Source organism: Homo sapiens, chromosome 3 (genome assembly GCF_000001405.40).
Source record: "Homo sapiens chromosome 3, GRCh38.p14 Primary Assembly".
Classification (NCBI taxonomy): Eukaryota; Metazoa; Chordata; class Mammalia; order Primates; family Hominidae; genus Homo; species Homo sapiens.
The window spans coordinates 25753936-25773197 of record NC_000003.12 but is presented as its reverse complement, the minus strand read 5'-3'; the positions used below and the strand labels follow the sequence as shown (position 1 = coordinate 25773197).

Sequence of the window (19262 nt, the reverse complement as noted above, 5' to 3'; positions counted from 1 at the left end):
AAACTTCTCTGGCCTTCCTAGAGATCTACATATCCAAATATAAGAAGCTCAAAGAACACCTGGGAAATTCATCTCAAAAAGATCATCACCTAGGCACATAGTCCTCAGGTTATCTAAAGTCAAGACAAAGGAAATAATCTTACAAGCTCTTAGGCAAAAGCATCAGATAACCTAAAAAGGAACACCTATCAGATTAACAGCAGATTTCTCAGTAGAAGCCCTACAAGCTAGAAGGGATTGGGGTCCTATCTTTAGCCTCTTTAAACAAAATAATTATCAGCTAAGAATTTTGCATCCAGCAAAACTAAGCTTCATAAATGAAGGAAAGATAGTCTTTCAGACAAACAAATGCCAAGAGAATTTGCCACTACCAAGCTAGCACTACAAGAACTGCTAAAAAGGAGCTCTAAATATTGAAATAAAACCTCGAAATACACCAAATTATAACCTCCTTAAAGCATAAATCTCACAGAACCTATAAAACAATAAATAATGAAAAAAAAACAAAGTATTCACACAACAACTAGCATGATCACTAGAATAGTACCTCACATCTCAGTACTAACATTGAATGTCAGTGGCCTAAATGCTGCACAGAATGTCAGAATGAGTAAGAATTTACCAACCATGTATTCTCTGTCTCTAAGAGACTCACTTAATACATAAAGACTAACATAAACTTAAGGTAAAGGGGTGAAAAAAGATATTCCATGCAAATGAAAACCAAAAGCCAGCAGGAGTAACTATTCTTAGACAAAACAGACTTCAAAGCAACAGTTAAAAAAAGACAAAGGGGGGCATTATTTAATGATAAAAGGGCTAGTCCAACAGGAAAACATTACAGTCCTAAATATGTATGCACCTAACACTGGAGCTCCCAAATTTATAAAACAATTGCTACTAGACCTAAGAAATGAGATAGACAACAACACAATAATAGTGGAGACTTCAATACTCACTGACAGCACTAGACAGGTCTGCAGAATTGGCATAGAAGGGACATACCTTAAGGTAATCAAAACTTTGTATGACAAACTCACAGCCAACAGTACACTGAACAGGGAAAAGTAGAAAGCATTCCCCCAAGAACCAGAACAAGACAAGGATGCCCACTTTCACCACTTCTATTCAACATAGTACTGGAAGTCCTAGCCAGAGCAGTCAGACAAGAGAAAGAAATCAAGAACATCAAAATTGGTAAAGAGGAATAGACTGTTGCTGTTTGCTGATGATATGATCATATACCTGGAAAACCCTAAAGACTCATCCAAAAAGCTCCTACAGCTGATAAATGAATTCATTAAAGTTTCAGGATACAAAATTAATGTACCCAAATCAGTAGCACTATTTCTACACCAACAGCGACCAAGCTGAGAATCAAGAACTCAACTCCTTTTACAATTGCTGCAATAAAATAAAATAAAATACTTAGGAATATACCTAACCAACCACATGAAAGACCTCTATAAGGAAAACTACAAAACATTGCTGAAGGAAATCATAGACAACACAAACAAATGGAAACACATCCCATACTCATGGAAGGGTAGAATCAATATTGTGAAAATGACCATACTACCAAAAGCAATCTCCAAATTCAATGCAATTCCCATCAAAATACCATCATCATTCTCCATAAAACTAGAAAAAAACAGTCCTAAAATTTTTAAAAGCAGCCTACGTAGCCAAAACAAGACTAACCAAAAAACAAATCTGGAGAAATCACATTACTTGACCTCAAACTATACTACAAGACTATAGTCAACAAAACAGCATGGTACCGGCATAAAAATAGGCACATAAACCAATAGAATAGAATAAATAACTCAGAAATTAAAGCCAAATACTTACAGCCAACTGATCTACAGCAAAGCAAACAAAACATAAAGTGGGAAAAGGACACCTATTCAGTGGTGCTAGGATAATTGGTAAGCCACATGTAGAAGATTGAAACTGGATCCTCATCTCTTACCTTATACAAAAATCAACTGGAGCTGTATGAAAGACTTAAATCTAAGACCTGGAACCATAAAAAATTCTAGAAGATAACATCAGAAAAACTAGTCTAGACATTGGCTTAGACGAAGACTTCATGACCAAGAACCCAAAAACAAATGCAATAAAAACAAAGATAAATAGATGGAGCTTATACTGAAAAGCTTCTGCACAGCAAAAGAAATAATCAGCAGAGTTAACAGACAACCCACAGAATGGGAGAAAATCTTCACAAACTAAGTATCCGACAAAGGACTGATATCTAGAATCTAGAAGGAACTCAAACAAATCAGCAAGAAAAAAAATCCCATCAAAAAGTTGGCTAAGGACATGAATAGGCAGTTCTGAAAAGAAGATATACAAATGGCCAATAAACATGAAAAAATGTTCAACATCTTTATCAGGGAAATGCAAATCAAAACCACAGTGTGACAACACCTTACTGCTGCAAGAATGGCCATAATTAAAGAATCAAAAAATAATAGATGTTGGTGAAAAGGGAACCCTTTTACACTGTTGGTGGGAATGTAAACTAGTATGACCCCTATGGAAAACAGCATGGAGAGTCCTTAAAGAACTAAAAGTAGATCTACCATTTGATCTAGCAATTCCTGTACTGGATATCTACCCAGAGGAAAAGAAGTCATTATATGAAGAAGATACTTGCACACGCATGTTTTTAGTAGCACAGTTTGCAATTGCAAAAATATGGAATCAATCCATCAGTCAACAAGTGGATGAAGAAAATGTGGAGGCCAGGCAGTAGTGGCTCATGGCTGTAATCCTAGTTCTTTGGGAGGCTGATGTGGGTGGATCACCCGAGGTCAGGAGTTCAAGACCTCCCTGGACAACATGGTGAAACCCCATCTCTACTAAAAATACAAAAATTTGCTGGGCATGGTGGCGGGCACTTGTAGTCCCAGCTACTCGGGAGGCTGAGGGGAGAATCACTAGAACCCGGGAGGCGGAGGTTGCAGTGAGCTGAGATCATGCCATTGCACTCCAGCTTGTGTGACAAGAGCAAAACTCTGTCTCAAACAAAAAAGTGGAATACTATGAATACTACTCAGCTATAAAAAAAGAATGAAATAATGGCATTTGCAGCAACCTGGATGGAATTGGAGACCATTATTCTAAGTGAGGTAACTCAGGAATGGAAAACCAAACATTATATGTTCTCACTTATAAGTGGGAGCTAAGCTATGTGGATGCAAAGGCCTAAGAATCATACAGTGGACTCTGGGGACTTGGAGAGGGGAAAAGTGGGAAGGGTGCGAGGGATAAAAGACTATACTTTTAGTTGAGTGATAAGTGCTTCAAAACCTCAGAAATTACCACTAAAGAACTTATCCATGTAACCAGACATCAACCCCTTCCCCAAAAACCTATTGAAATAAAAAAAAGAATTAAATAAAAGAAATTTAAAAATGCTTAAAAATTAAGCATAAGAATTTTTTTTAAAAAATTAAAGATCATTAAAAAATGATTACTTTTTTTGGATGTGTGCCTAGCAGTAGGATTACTGGATCATATGGTAGTTCTATTTTTAGTTTTTTTGAGGAAACTTCATACTCTTTTTCTTAGTTTACATACTAATTTGTATACCCACTAGGAATGTATAAAGATTCTTTGCATCCTTGCCAGCATTTATTTTCTGTCTTTTTGATAATAGCTATTTTAACTGGAGTAAGATAATATCTCATTGTGGTTTTGATTTTCCTTTCTCTGATAATTAGTGATGTTGAGCATTTTTTCATATACCTGTTAGCCAATTGTATGTCTTCCTTTGAGAAATGTCTATTCAGATCTTTTGCTCATTTTTATTTTTATTTATTATTTTTTGAAATGGAGTCCCACTTCGTTGCCCAGGCTGGAGTCTAGTGGCACAATCTCGGCTTACTGCAGCCTTCACCTCTCAAGTTCAAGTGATTCTCCTGCCTCAACCTCCTGAATAGTTGGGACTGCAGGTGCACGCCATCATGCCCGGCTAATTCTTTTGTATTTTTAGTAGAGATGGGGTTTCACCATGTTGGCCAGACTGGTCTCGAACTCCTGACCTCAAGTGATACACCTACCTTGGTCTCCCAAAGTGCTGGGATTACAGGCGTGAGCCAATGCGCCGGCCTCTTTTGCTCATTTTTAAATGAGATTTGTTTTTTGCTATTAAGTTGTTTCAGTTCCTTTTATAGTCTGGTTCTTAATCCCTTGTCATTTGAATAGTTTGCACATATTTTCTTTCACTTTCTAGTGTGTCTCTTCACATTGTTCTTTCCTTTGCTGTGCATAAGCTTTTTAATTTGATGTGATACCTTTTGTCAATTTTTGCTTTAGTTGCCTGTGTTCTTAAAGTCTTACTCATGAGGCCAGGCGCCGTGGCTCACGCCTGTAATCCCAGCACTTTGGGAGGCCAAGGTGGGCGGATCATGAGGTCAGGAGTTTGAGACCATGTCTAACACGGTGAAACCCCATCTCTACTAAAAATACAAAAAATTAGCCGGGCGTGGTGGCGGGCGCCTGTAGTCCCAGCTACTTGGGAGGCTGAGGCAGGAGAATGGAGGTTGCAGTGAGCCAAGATCGCACCACTGTGCTCCAGCCTCGGCGACACAGTGAGACTCCGCTAAAAAAAAAAAAAAAAAAAAAAGTCTTACTTATGAAATCTTTGCCCAGACCAATTTCCTGAAGTGTTTTCCCAATATTTTCTTCTAGTAGTCTTACAGTTTAAGGTTATACTTTAAGGTCTTACACTTAAGTCTCTAATCCATCTTTTTTTTTTTTTTTTTAGATGGAGTTTCACCTCTTGTTGCCCAGGCTAGAGTGCAGTGGCACAGTCACTACTCACCGCAGCCTCTGCCGGGTTCAAGTGATTCTCCTGCCTCAGTCTTCCGAGTAACTGGGATTACAGGTGTCCGCCACCATGCCCAGCTAATTTTTTTTGTATTTTTAGTAGAGACAGGGTTTCACCATGTTGGCCAGGCTGGTATTGAACTCCTGACCTCAGGTGATTCACCTACCTCGGCCTCCCAAAGTTCTGGGATTACAGGCGTGAGCCACCACACCTGGCCAATCTTTTTTTTTTTTTTTTTTTTTTTTGAGATGGAGTCTTGCTCTGTCGCCCAGCCTGGAGTGTAGTGGTGCGATCCTGGCTCACTGCAACCACCGCCTCTGGGGTTCAAGTGATTCTCTTGCCTCAGCCTCCCGAGTAGCTGGGATTACAGGTGCCTGCCACCACGCCCAGCTAATTTTTGTGTTTTTAGTAGAGACGGGGTTTCGCCATGTTGGCCAGCAGGCTGGTCAGCTCCCTACCTCAAGTGATCCACCTGCTTCAGCCCCCCAAAGTGCTGGGATTACAGGCGTGAGCCACCCCGCCCAGCCTCTAATCCATCTTGATTTGATTTTTGTATATGGTAAGATACAGATGGGATCTGGTTTCATTCCTCTGCATATGGATATCTAACTTTCCCAGCATGGTGGGCTTTTGTAAATGGAGTATGAACCTAAGACCTATCCCAAAATTTTCAACTGTATATTAAAATTCTGGATACTTTTAGGCCCACTTGTCTCTGAGGCTGCATTCTTTTTTATGACAGTTTCTGAGAGTGATGTTGAAATGAAAAAGATTAGGATCCAAATGGATCTGTGACCCTACAGTTTATCTCAGTGGAGTAGTTTTCCACCAGGAGCCATACCTGCCCCCTCCACCTGCACCTCTTTCTTCAACCTGTTGAAGATGAGTACGGGAAATTTGCTAGGGCAGTTTGGTTGTTTTATTGACTGGACGATATTTTCAGCATTTAGTGGTCAGGGTCAGGTTTGCTAAATATCCTGTAATAAGAATTGTCTCAACAAAAATGCCTTGAGAAACAAATTTGTTAAATACTAGAATTCTTTTTGATTTCTTTTTTTTTTTTTTTGAGACGGAGTCTAGTTCTATCGCCCAGGCTGGAGTGCAGTAGCATGATCTCGGCTCACTGCAACCTCTGCCTCCTGGGTTCAAGCGATTCTCCTGCCTCAGCCTCCCGAGTAGTTGGGATTATAGTTGCCTGCCACTGCGCCCAGCCAATTTTTGTATTTTTAGTAGAGACAGGGTTTCACCATGTTGGTCAGGCTGATCTCAAACTCGTGACCTTGTGATTTGCCCGCCTCGGTCTCCCAAAGTGCTGGGATTACAGGCGTGAGCCACTGCGCCTGGCCTCTTTTTGATTTCTTAAAATATTATTAAATCTAGTGCATTAAGCTTATAATTTTGTCCATTTATGAAAATAACAGTGCTGTTGGTTAAATTTTTTGATATAGACACTTTGGCCATAATTATATCTTCTTTTAGGACTGGTTGTAAAGGGACTGAAGGGAAGGGAGCATGGCATGAGCAGCGTATCTGTCTTACTGGGGCCCTGTCTGAGTTGTGGACTGAGACCTACATCTAAATAACCTGTCATGCTCTTTTTCCTTCTCTGTCCATGGAGTTGTTTGCCTTTCTCAGTGCTGTTCCAGTAACATTATGAGATCAGATGCCTTCATATTTGGTTTTAAACCAGATGTCTGGTTTCTCTTCCTAGGCCTCCTCCTAGATATAAGAAGATTCTTTCTAAGGTTGAAAAAGTCGTTGTGTTACAATTTGTGCCAGTCGTCTAATCATTACAGTTGTACAAATGTTCTCCGCTCATTCCCTTCAACTATTTGTGCAAGCTCATGGGTTTCAGTCTCTGTTCAGTCAAAGATGGAGTCATTTATAGCATAACGATTAAGGTCATGGAGTCTGAATCCCTGCTCTGCCAGTTGTTCTGTGGCTTCAAGCAGGTTAACTTCCCTGAGCCTTTGTATTTTCATGTGAGTATTGGCCGGGAATGGTGGCTCACGCCTATAATCCCAGCTTTTTGGGAGGCTGTGGTGGGCGGATCACCTGAAGTCAGGAGTTTGAGACCAGCCTGACCAACGTGGTGAAATCCTGTCTCTACTAAAAAATACAAAAATTACCCAGGTGTGGTGGCGCATGCCTGTAATCCCAGCTACTTGGGAGACTGAGGCAGGAGAATTGCTTGAACCTGGGAGGTGGAGGTTGCAGTGAGCCGAGATCACACCACTGCACTCCAGACTGGGCAACAAGAGCAAAACTCTGTCTCCAAAAAAAAAAAAAGTATTAATCTAATACCTACTTTTCAGGGTAGTTGTATTACTTGAGATGATGTATTTAAAACGCCCAGCATTTTGCTTTGGGAGGCTGAGGTGGGAGGATCATTTGAGGTTAGGAGTTTGAGACCAGCCTGGGCAAAAGAGTGAGACCCCTGTCTCTCCAAAAAATAAAAATCATCCAGGTGTGGTGGCATGCACCTGTAGTCCTAGCTGCTGGGAGGCTGAGGATGGAAGATCGCTTGAGCCCAAGAGTTTGAGGTTATAGCTTTGATCACTCCACTGCACTCCAGCCTGGGTGACAGAGGGAGACCCTGCCTCAGAGAAAAAAATGCCTAGCACAGTACTTAGAACACACAAAGACAATACATTGTAGTTGTCTTTTTTATAGCAATTATGAATCATACGTGGAGCTTGCTGGTCTAATCCAGCTTTTTAAAAAGGATTCAGATGGAATTGACTTTCATGTCATTGAGTAATGTCTTGTTCAGTTGATTCCTGTAGGTCTGCCATCACCAGGGAAATACAGTAATATTGTCGATTTTGGAGTTTAATTTAAATGCTCATGATCTGCAGGTCTGTGTACTACAGACTGTTGCAACTTTTTTTTTTTTTTTTTTTTGAGACTGAGTCCTGCTCTGTCACCTAGGCTGGAGTGCAGTGGCACGATCTCAGCTCACCTCTGCCTCCCAGGTTCAAGCAATTCTCCTGCCTCAGCCTCCCAAGTAGCTGGGATTACAGGCACCCGCCACCATGCCCAGCTTATTTTTGTATTTTTGGTAGAGACAGGGTTTTGCCATGTTGACCAGGCTGGTCTCGAACCCCTGACCTCAGGTAATCTGCCCATGTGAGCCTCCCAAAGTGCTGGGATTACAGGCGTGAGCCACCATGCCCAGCTGCAACTTTTTATCTTGTTTGCAGTTGGAGAAATTACTGTTTTTAACATTGTTTCTTTTCAATACCTGGAAATTTGATCAAATACATTGTCATTTCATTTCACCTTTTTTCTTGTTTTGAGTAATTTACTGTTTTACATTATAGAATTTGTTGTAGCATTTTATTTTAAAGCATTCTTAGCATATTTATAGGTATTCTTTAAATGAGTCACTACTGAAATACATGATTTTTATTTCTTTTGTTTTGTTCGGATTACCTTCCTATTACTGTTAACCATCCATAGTTTTGGATTGACTATCAGGGTGTACTTTTCGTTATCGTGGAAAAATTAGTTGACCCCATACACAGGCTTCTAATCATGTAGCTATTCTTTAAAGACTCAGATTAACAAGATTCAAAGGTTGTTAGATAACTTCTTGTTGGTTTTATGTGACCCTGGATTCTTTTGTGTGGCTGTATCTCTACTGTCATTATTATTTCATAGGGAATTTCATAGAGAATAGTAGTATCATATACTATTGCAGAGAGGATAGGAATATGCATTTTTGCAACCCTTATGAGGCCTTCTGACTTATTGTTTCTAGAAGATCAAATATTTTTTCCTGAAAGTCCTTTGAACCACATTAAATAGGCTAAGGATTAAATGCCAAAAAGGAGATAATTTTTTTTTTAATTTTCTGGTTTATGTTTAGGCATTATTTACCTTAGGCTGTATTTAAAAAGAACCATAATGGTAAGAAAACAGTATGATTTTAGAAACATGCATTCTATATTATTGGTTTCATTATACATTTCTGTGTGTGTGTGCACAAAAGAATGACTGCATAAAGCAAAGGTTCACATTTTTTTTAATTTTATAAATTCCAGGGAGAAACACATCTCATCTTTCCTAAAAAAGCTTCAGTGGAGCAGCTGCAAAAAATTCGTGACCTGATTGCCATAGAGAGAAGTAGCAGACTGGATGGCTCAAATAAGAGCCACAAAGTAAAGTCATCTCAGCAACCTGCAGCCAGTACCCAGCTTCCTACAACACCATCTTCAAATCCCAGTGGGTTAAACCAGCACACAAGGAACCGTCAAGGGCAGTCATCAGATCCACCATCTGCTTCAACGGTAATGTTAGAATTAAACCTTCTTTAACTGTTTCTTTCAAAGTGTTGAAACAGCAAAAGCTTTGGAATGTGTTATGATTTATTCCTGAATTTATGCCCCATATTTTGTTCTTAGTTCTTATAACTCTAAAACATCCAAATTTCTTCAGCTCTTTAAAAAATTGTCAGATTTCCTCTACTGCATTAATACTTCTGATCTAAATTGTACCTGCTGCCTTTCACTGTGGGGGTTATTTCCAACAGCACAACCATTATCAATACCTTAATTCAATAAAAAAGCTTCTTTAGGTTTAAGGTAATTAAGAATGCATTAATTTAATGATAGTGGATGCTAGCAAATTAGTGAAATTTTATTATTAATATACACCATATATACTTGTGAAGAACTAAAGTCAAACTTACAGGCATTCTTGATAAACTGAAATGATTCCATTTGATAGGAAATTATCCTGTTTACAAAAATCTCTTTTGACCAAGGTCCTTACATATTCTTCTCCTAAGTTTTTACTGTCAGAAAAATTCTTGTGATATTTCTGTAAGTCTAACAAGCACCTCAATGGATTTTTATGCCCCTCCCTGAGATCATGTGCATTCCATTTTGAATACCTTAGGTCTTCATCAGTTTTGCAGTTAAGGTTGGTACAGTTACAGAAGCTCACTTAACATCTTTCTTGGTTTTTAACACCTTTTCTTAGGAGTTTTCCAATTACAGTGTTAGAATATATCTTTTAAGATTTCCTACTTTATCTTTTTAATTGCAGTATTATAGTTTAAAATGCACATAGTTAACCAATCTGCAAAAAAGCTTGCAAACATTTTATTTTACAAAATATCTCTTTCCTGGGCTAAGTAGTATTTTGTTAGTGTCCTGGCTCAGGAAAGCCATTCACATTTTCTTAATCTTGTTTAAACTTCTTTTCTTTTGTTTTGTTTTTTTCTTTTTTTGAGACAGAGTCTCATTCTGTCCAGGCTGTAGTACAGTGGCAAAATCTTGGCTCACTGCAACCTCTGCCTCCCAGGTTGAAGTGATTCTCGTGCCTCAGCCTCCTGAGTTTCTGGAAATAAAGGCATGCACCATCTCTCCTGGCTAATTTTTGTTTTTTCTTCTTTTTGAGACGGAGTTTCACTCTTGTTGCCCAGGCTAGAATGCAATGGCACGATCTTGGCTCACTGCAACCCCCACCTCCTGGGTTCAAGAGATTCTATAGCCTGCGCCTCCCGAGTAGCTGGGATTATAGGCACCTGCCACCACACTTGGCTAATTTTTTGTGTTTTTAGTAGAGACGGGGTTTCTCCATGTGTGCCAGGCTGGTCTCAAAACTCCTGACCTCAAGTGATCCACCTGCCTTGGCCTCCCAAAGTGCTGGATTACAGATGTGCACCACCACACCCAGCCCTTTTTTTAAGTTCTTAATCTTACAATTCAGATATAGTTCCAGGTCTTTAAAATCCTGTCCGTCACCAGAAAGCCTCTAAACACTACACTAAAAACAGAATGTCATTCTGTTGGCAAAACACATTCTAGTGTAGAAGAAAATAAATTTTCTCAAAGGTGTATGCTATTAGTAGGCTAGTGTATATCAATTCTTACTACTCTAGTCCTTCACACAAAATATCTTCTGTGTTGAAGTTGAGAGAAATTAGAATGAATCTTGTTTTTCATAGACAACTCTTGGTTATTCGTGGATCACTGGAATATATGTATTTCTTTAAAGTATTTTGTTAATTATGCTTTCATCATTAGTTGCTATACTACAGAATTTGACAGTTTTCTTCTACCTTGCCCATTTTGAGTGGAGATACTGAGAATTAAAATGTACCAAAGTCAGGGAGCCAGAGAGATATTTTTTAAAGCATTTAACCTGTGTATAAACTAGATAAGTCCTAGTGAACTTATAACTTTTTTTTTTTTGGTTAAAACTATATCAAGTAAAATGTCGATGTATAAGTTAAGATGATAGTCACTGATGTTGACGTTTGCCAGTAAGCTTTTAAGATACAAAATACTGGAATATATTGATACTCAATAAATGATGATAGTGGTGGTGATTGTTAGAAAGTTAATCTTGCTACTTTTTCTGGACATTTTATGTTAATAGAATTATAGTATGTAATCTTTTGTTTCTAGCTCTTTGTGTAACATTTTTGAAGTTCTTCGTATTGCAGGATATATCAGTATTTTGTTCCTTTTTATTGTTGAATAATATTCCATTTTAAGGATATGCCACATATTGTTTCCATTCATCAGTTGATGGACATTTGGGTTGTTTCCCATGTTTGCCTATTATGAATAATGCTGCTGTGAACATTCACATACAAATTTTTGTGTAGACATATGTTTTTATTTCTCTTGAGTAGATTCCTAGGAGTGGAACCACTGGGTTGTATGGTAAGTTTATATTTATGTTTTTAAGAAATTACCAAGCTGTTTTTCAAAATTGTACCATTTTACTTTATCATCAGAAATATGTGAGGCTTCCCGTTTCTTAGTATCCTCACCAACCATTGTTACTGTCTTTTTTAGTATACCCATTTTAGTGGTTGTTAAGTAGTAGTTCATTTTGGTTTTAATTTGCATTTGCCTGATGACTTAATTGATTTTCAAACTTGCTGGTTGTACATGCTAAGTGTTTAGTGTTCCTAATGGAAGTAACTTTCTGATAATCCTTTATTTTTATACCCATTGCCTTCCAAAAGCAGATTCAAAACAGCAAGGACAATTTTTCAATGACATGGTACCTCAGAATGTTAGAAGCATTATGTTTCCAGCTTCACAACTTTATCTCGGTTGAAAATGTGATTCTGAAGTATAATATGCTTAAAATATACATTTAGTACTTTTTACTCAGCTAATCTAAATGTATGCTTTTATTTAGCACATGACTACTTTGAGTATGTATATGAAATTGTTAGGAACTTTTCATCAACTCTTTATCACTCTAGAAATTACTGCCAGTTTATATATGGGTATGTGTTTATTTAAACCAATTATCATAATTTGTGATTATTTCATTGAAATTATAAAAGTCATATATTATCAGATAATGATAAATAATAAAACGAACTAGTTAATTTTAAAACTAATTTTATCTCATAAACCAACAATAAGGCAACCTCTTAGTCTTAGTCTAGATCTGTGTGCGAGCTTTTTTTTTTTTTTTTTTTTTTTTTTTTTTTTTTTTTTTTTTTTTTTTTTTTTTTTTTTTGAGACAGAGTTTCACTCTTGTTGCCCAGGCTGGAGTGCAATGGCGTGATCTCGGCTCACCGCAACTTCTGCCTCCTGGGTTCAAGTGATTCTCCTGCCTCAGCCTCCGTAGTAGCTGGGATTACAGGCATGTGCCACCACGTCTGGCTAGTTTTAGTATTTTTAGTAGAGACGGGGTTTCTCCATGTTGGTCAGGCTGGTCTCGAACTCCCAACCTCAGGTGATCCGCCCACCTTGGCCTCCCAAAGTGCTGGGTTACAGGCGTGAGCCACCGTGCCCGGCCTGTGTGCTAGCTTTGTAAGAGAAGAAACCTATTTGAACATAAGATTTAAACATCCACTTTCTTTTTCATGAACCTACCACTCTTAAAAGTTAATACTTGCATGCCCTCTGATAGGGGATTACATTGTGTCCTTATATCAGCATACTTAGCGTATGTTAAAAATGAAGATGTGATCTGTTTTGACATGAATAACATTATTATATGGAAAAAAGGTAAACTGAGAATTCCAAAATTAAACAACATATGTTGTCTGTATATGTGTAATATTTTGATTTTTCTTATTAGAAACATACACACACACATACATATATATATATGTTCATTTTTTTAAAGGTTTGGAAGGCCATACACAAACATCTTAACCATAATGTACTCTGAGTGATGAAATTATGGGTGCTTTCATATTATTTATACTATTGAGTATTTTCTGAAATATTTTTTGAAGCAACATGTATTACCTTTATAAATAGAAAAGTTTTTCTTTAAATAAGTTTATTGAAGTCACAAGTTGATTAAAACATATTTAAAATAACAAAACTTTTATGTCTAAAAACAGGTTCTAAATTTTAAAGCCTCAAAATAAAGGGTTGCATAAAATTAAAGAGAGGGCAAGTAGGCTCAAGCCTTGATTTGTTGTGTGTGTGTGTGTGTGTGTGTGTGTTTTTTTAACTAAAGAAGTGAATTTGCTAATCTAACTTCCATTGATTAATTACCACGATTTGACAAAATTATACACATTGTACTTTTTTCTTATGAAGTCTTAAATATATCTCATATCAGAAATCAAAATAATTGGAAGTATGATTAGTGAAGGAAAAATCTCTTTGATCTAAAACCAACAGATTTCACATTTTAAACTTCCATTTGTACTCTAAGTAACTTTAGTCTCTCAATTAACTGCTGCCTTATGTAGCATTAGTACATGGTTACCCAGCTGCTGTAATCACCATGTAATCAGCAACTTTCTATTTTTATGACTTAGTTTTTTCAGAGTTGTGCCAATGAATATGTAAAGAAATAAGGCAAGAATATAAACTTTATTGTTTAAAATATTTTGAGTGCCATTAAAACTACAATGAATGAGGTAATTTCCAGATTGAAAAGAATTAAATTGAAAATAAAAATACTCCGGATGAATTCTTACCTTCTTGGTAAATGAAAGTCTGCATTTAAGAAAAATAAAATGAGACACTATAAGTGCTTCATTTTAATATGAATTTTTTCAAATAAAAATGGAGACATTTCTTTTTTTTTTTTTTCTGTTTCTATACTAATCCTAGTAAAGGAGCATATTTGTTTCCATGGCGAATTCCCCAGACTTGTCATCACCAACTCTACATTTCTTTTGTCAGCTGTTGTACCCATCTCTTCTGTAATGGAGGCAATGTGTCTGCTCTTAATAAAGGCCAGTTGCTCCTCTCTCCCTGTATCCCTTCTCCTCTGTTCACCATGGAATCTCACATGGACAGTGCCCCATCTTGGACCTGTTCTTTTCTTGGGGAATCTTCCTAGTGGCATTTAAACCTTGTTTTAGGCCAGTTTTCATTTAAGGTTGTTCCACTGGAATCACACGCAAATTTCTGAACATAATTCCAGGCTGGCTGAATCAAAATGGAAGAGGGGTGAAGTTTAGAATCTACATTTTTAACAAGCAGGTTAATGTTTAAGAGCTTTACCTTTAAGCTCTCCTATCTTAGAAACAAGGCAACATACAAATATCCCTGGTCCTCCATGCCCTGTCTTTCTCACCTCTTCTTCCCAGTACTCATTGTTGCATCTTTATTTCTTATATACGTTTCTAGTGGATCTCCATACTTTAATTATATGCCCTATCAGTAAAATATTTTTCAGCACATATTGTCAATATATTTTTGTTCATTTGTTTATGTGTTATATACATGTACTACTACGGCAATATACTGTTCACATTATAAGACAATGTAAAGAGGATCTAAATAGTAAATAATATGTTTAATTCAAAAAAATTTATTTATTTATTTTGAGACAGGGTCTCACTTTGTCGCTCAGGCTGGAACGCAGTGGCATGATCACAGCTCACTGCAGCTCTGACCTCCTGGGCTCAGATGATCCTCCCACCTCAGCCTTCCAAGTAGCTGGGACTACAGGTGTGTGCCCCAAGCCCAGCTAATTTTTCTTTATTTTTTGTAGAGATGAGGGTCTTGCCATGTTGCTCAGGGTGGTCTGGAACTCCTGGTCTCAAGCAATCCGCCTGCCTCAGCTGCCAAAAGTGCTAGGGTTATAGCCATAAGCCACCATGCTCCACCAAAAAATTTATTAATACTATATTACCTAATGAATGTATACAAATCCATATTTAAAATAGTCTTGATAATTTTGAATTTAAGGGGCTTTGTTAGATCTCATTAGATTGTTAGTGATTTTCTTTTTTGCACTAAAATGTAGCTGTTGAAGTGCTTATGCCAAAAAAGCAGATGATGTGTTTGCCCTGCCATTTTCTCTTTGTTAATGTGTGCTCTTATTATTAGTATTGGCCTTAGGGCCTAGAGTTCTTTGTAATCTTTTTAAGCTAGATTGAGGATTAATTTAGTTAAAATCATATAATCTGTAATTCCACTTAACCCAGTACATTTGAACTGCACAGCTTTGTCACATGACAGCTGCAGAAGTAGGAGTGCGGGTGCCACTGTTAACCCTTTGACTTTATGACATTTTTTTCTCTTACCTCAGGGTAGCTTCTCCAGTCTGTGAGGGAGGCACTGTTAATTCAGATAGTAAATATTATTATAACTTAATTGTTTTACTTGTCAGACAAAATATAAACAGAAATTCTCATACTTTCTGTCCACATCCTCGTGGACCTTCTTGTACAGCTCCTTTGCTACAGCTTAGCAAGCCCACTGTTGCACATCACTTGTATGACTCAGTCTCTTGCAAATTGTTTTCCTTATTAATGCTATCATTAGACTGTATTCTTACTATGGTCAGTGATTTCCATGTTGCCAAATTTAATTGACTTTTTTCAGTTGGTTTTTACCATTCGGTAGTCTTTTTTCTTTTAAGCTCAAATTTTTATTAATAGCCTTGGAACAAATACATTAATATTTCCTTACAGTCATATAGTATTATACAGTTTTGAAAGAACTTTCACGTATACCAGTCGAACCCTTACAACAGCCCTGTGAGGTAGGCAGGGTAGGTGTTATTTTCCTACTACTATTGAGAGCAAAGCTAAGAGGTGAAGTAAGGTCACACAGTTGGTGAATGATGGAGCTAGGACTAGAACCTAGGCCTTTTGACTTGCTTCCTCCCTGAGAACATTCAAGTAATGATATCCTATGCTATATAACAAATATTTATCTCCTATGAAGTTGATCAGGTCTATTTTTATACATTTTACCTGTTTTTCTATTACCTTTCCCTAATATCAAAAAACTTTAAAACTGATGAGACATTTGAGACATTTCTTCTCTGTTACTGGACTTTTTCTTAGATATATCAAGCACTAGCCTAAGATGAAACTTCTGTTTTGAGGATCCTTGGCTATAAATTCTAAATTATGATATGAACATTTATTTTACAAAAGTCTGCAAATATATGTTGAACTTAAGAAAAACAAAACAGGTCTGTTTATATTCTCGAAAGCTTTCCATCTTTCCCAATATGACTTTAAGATGTGTATAAGAGGAAAACTGGGAAAGTGTTCAGCAATATTACAGTATTATTGGGAAACCAATGCAGAGTGCACATAAATGCAAGTCACATCACGCCACACTAGTTTATTTTCTTTGTTGGCCTTTTAGAGGATGGAGAACCATTAGTGTCTTACTTTCAGGTTTGATCCCATCTTATATGTGATATCCTCAGCAACTAGCTAAAAATGTGATCTGAATTATACCAATTGGAGGACTCAAGCAGCAGTGATCAAAACATACGTGTATGTGGTAAAAGGGAAGAAAACACTTGTTCTTCATTGGTTTTGCCTAGGTCCAGTGTAATTACTTATCAAAACAAATTTTAACCTATAGCATCTCTGTTAAATTTAGAAATGTGAAATATGGTAGAGTTATCAACTTGGAATATAAGACTAAAACTGTAACTGACCCAAAACTACCTGTCAAAAGCACAGAAAGCTCAACAGGCATAAAAACTAAGGAGTAAAACCCAACTGTTCTGACATAGAGTGAAAAACAGCAAATGCAAGCCATCAGGTTAAAGTGAATCACAAAACATTAGGCATATAGAGAATGTTTTAAAAATATGAAAATGACACTGAGCTGTATTACCAGGAATGATATTTTTTAAATTCCAGGTATGGCCTTTTACATTTAAGAACAATGGAGAGAAACAAACCTATGGGGTAGGTGCAGAAAATGAATGGGATTTAGAAAGGGAGTTCAGTTGGGGAATTAAGGAAGGCCAAGAAACAAAAACATTCAAAATGGATTTAGAATCTCTCCTCTAAATCCACTCTTTCCAAAAATGTTTCCTAAATTGAGAGATTTGGTAAAAATAAAAAAGCTAGTGACAACAAAAGTGGCTATATTACCTTATAAAATAAAGTAGTATTTAAATGTAGATTAGAAATCATGCTGTAAAAGATAAATCTGCTGACCAGGCTGTAGAACCTAAAACTTAGGTGCTGCTGTCAGTGATAAAAGGCAGAAAAGTGTCTCAAAAACAGAATTGCCATATAAGGACTCAACATTAATGAAACTATTAAGAAACAAGTACTTAACTGTTTGTAATTGAAGCCTAATGAAAAGCACATTTTGTGTGTTTACTAAAGAGATCTAACAGTTTTAACTAATATGAAAGTCTTTTAAGGTAAAACGAGAAGATCTAGAATATTCTAGTTCAGTATATTGGGCTCAAAACCAGCTTTCCTTTTGAAATGCATCTAGACTAGACTATAATTCCTTACATAGTATCATTGTCATCATCATCTTCATGTTTTTCTCTTCAGTGGGTTTGCTTCATTGGCTGTGTTCTATGATGAAACCATGTTGATGGGAATAAGAATATTTTTGGGCCCAATCATTGAGGGATTAGTTGGAACATTTTGAACTGCAGTTATTGCAGGAACTGGTTTGACAGGTGTGGACCGAGAAGGTGGAATCTGCACTGTTAAATCTTTGGCTTGTCACTGACATTGGAGTTGAAACTTTATTTGGGACAGACACTGTTTGTGGGGTCACTATAGTAGGAGTGGTAGGTTTGCTACTAACAGCACCAACAGTCAATCGTAGAACTAGCCTCCCTTGGTTAGGTCCCTTTTTAATTAAGGACTTCAGCCTATAGTTTGGAGCTGTTAAGCAGTATCTATCAGGTGGGAGTCTAGGTCCTGCATATGGCTTAATCAGTGGCAAAGGGGTTTGATTTTTCTGCCTTGCAATATCCAGTAAGAAACCTCTTGGGGGAAGAGAGGTAAAAAGATCAGCACGACACTGGATTGCCAGTCTCACATCATCTGCATCAACATTAGGTTTCTTAGCATGGCTCGAATAAATTTTTGCATCATCCAGAATTGTAGTCACATTTCGGAAAGCAAATTCCAAAATTTGATTTATAACCTTTGGTTTGTAGTCTGTGATTCCCATATCCTTCGAGATCTGTGCCATCACCAAGGCATCCCTAGGAGCGTTCTTGGGAAGTGCCATCTTGCCCAATTCCATGTTATCCAGCCACTCGTTATCCGGAGAGAGAGCCTATTGGTAGTCTTTAACTTAGTTGGTCATTTCATGGTTTTTCTCCTGCTGCAAGTGGTTCAAGTGCTGACCCAGTTGCTCGTATCAAAAAAAAAAAAAAAAAGCACGAGTCATCTCTAATGTGTTCTTTTCCTTTTCCAAATACTCTTGACTTCATAGTACAGTCACCAAAACTTATTGATTTTATTTCCTAAGTTCTTTTCATATCCATTTGCTTTTTTTTTTTTCCTAACAGTTGTAAAACTACCCTAATTTAAACCACCAGCTCTCTTGGAGCTCTGCAGTAGTCCCCCATGGGGTCTTCTGATGCCTGCTTTCTCTGCATAGTGGCTAAAGTGATATTCTGAAAACACATCAGATCGTTTTACTCTTCTTGCTTAAGTCTCTTTAATGGCTTATCATTGCAATGAAAAGCGACCAGAAAGATCTTTATCTCTCCACTGCTTTCCCCTTAGTTCTCTGGGTACTAAACACTGATCTCTCTGATCCTTCAAAATATGCTAAGCAATCCCCATCTACCTTTGTGCTGTTCCTTCTGACAGGAATGGTCTTTTCCTTCCCTTTTTGTTAGCTTCTTCTCATCCTTCCTATTGTGCCACAAAAAAGTTCAGGTTCAAGGACCTTGTTGTAAAGTCTCATTTTATGCTATATATTTGCTTAATAATATTTATCCCTATGATTAATTTTTAACCGTTATATCCCCAGCACCTAGCAAATAAAGGATAAAATTTGAGTAAATGAACATTATCAGTATTTGCTTGTTTTTGTATCCATAGACTACTTGCTTTTTGAGGGTAATGTCCATATCTATTTTGGTCTCCATTATTTTTCCAGTATCTAACACATTCACACACAGACAAATATTTTTGAGTTACTGTGGTGGGTCTGTCATTATTTGTTGAATACCTTTTCCCTATAGACCTTAAATTGATCATGTCTGTCTTGTGCACCCATTC

General features: G+C 37.2%; 1 protein-coding gene and 1 pseudogene across 13 annotated transcripts in view; one reads left to right on the top strand and one right to left on the bottom strand.

Annotated features, from left to right (window-relative positions):
• Positions 1-19262, top strand: part of NGLY1 (N-glycanase 1) — a 71096-nt gene that overhangs the window by 16842 nt on the left and 34992 nt on the right. For all 13 annotated transcript variants that reach the window (NM_001145294.2, XM_005265317.1, XM_005265316.1 and 10 more), the window contains exon 3: positions 8887-9132. In NM_001145294.2, the coding sequence (NP_001138766.1) occupies positions 8887-9132 (246 nt within the window). The remainder of the gene's footprint in view (positions 1-8886; positions 9133-19262) is intronic.
• On the bottom strand, positions 15658-18305 carry TAF9BP1 (TATA-box binding protein associated factor 9b pseudogene 1; annotated as a pseudogene).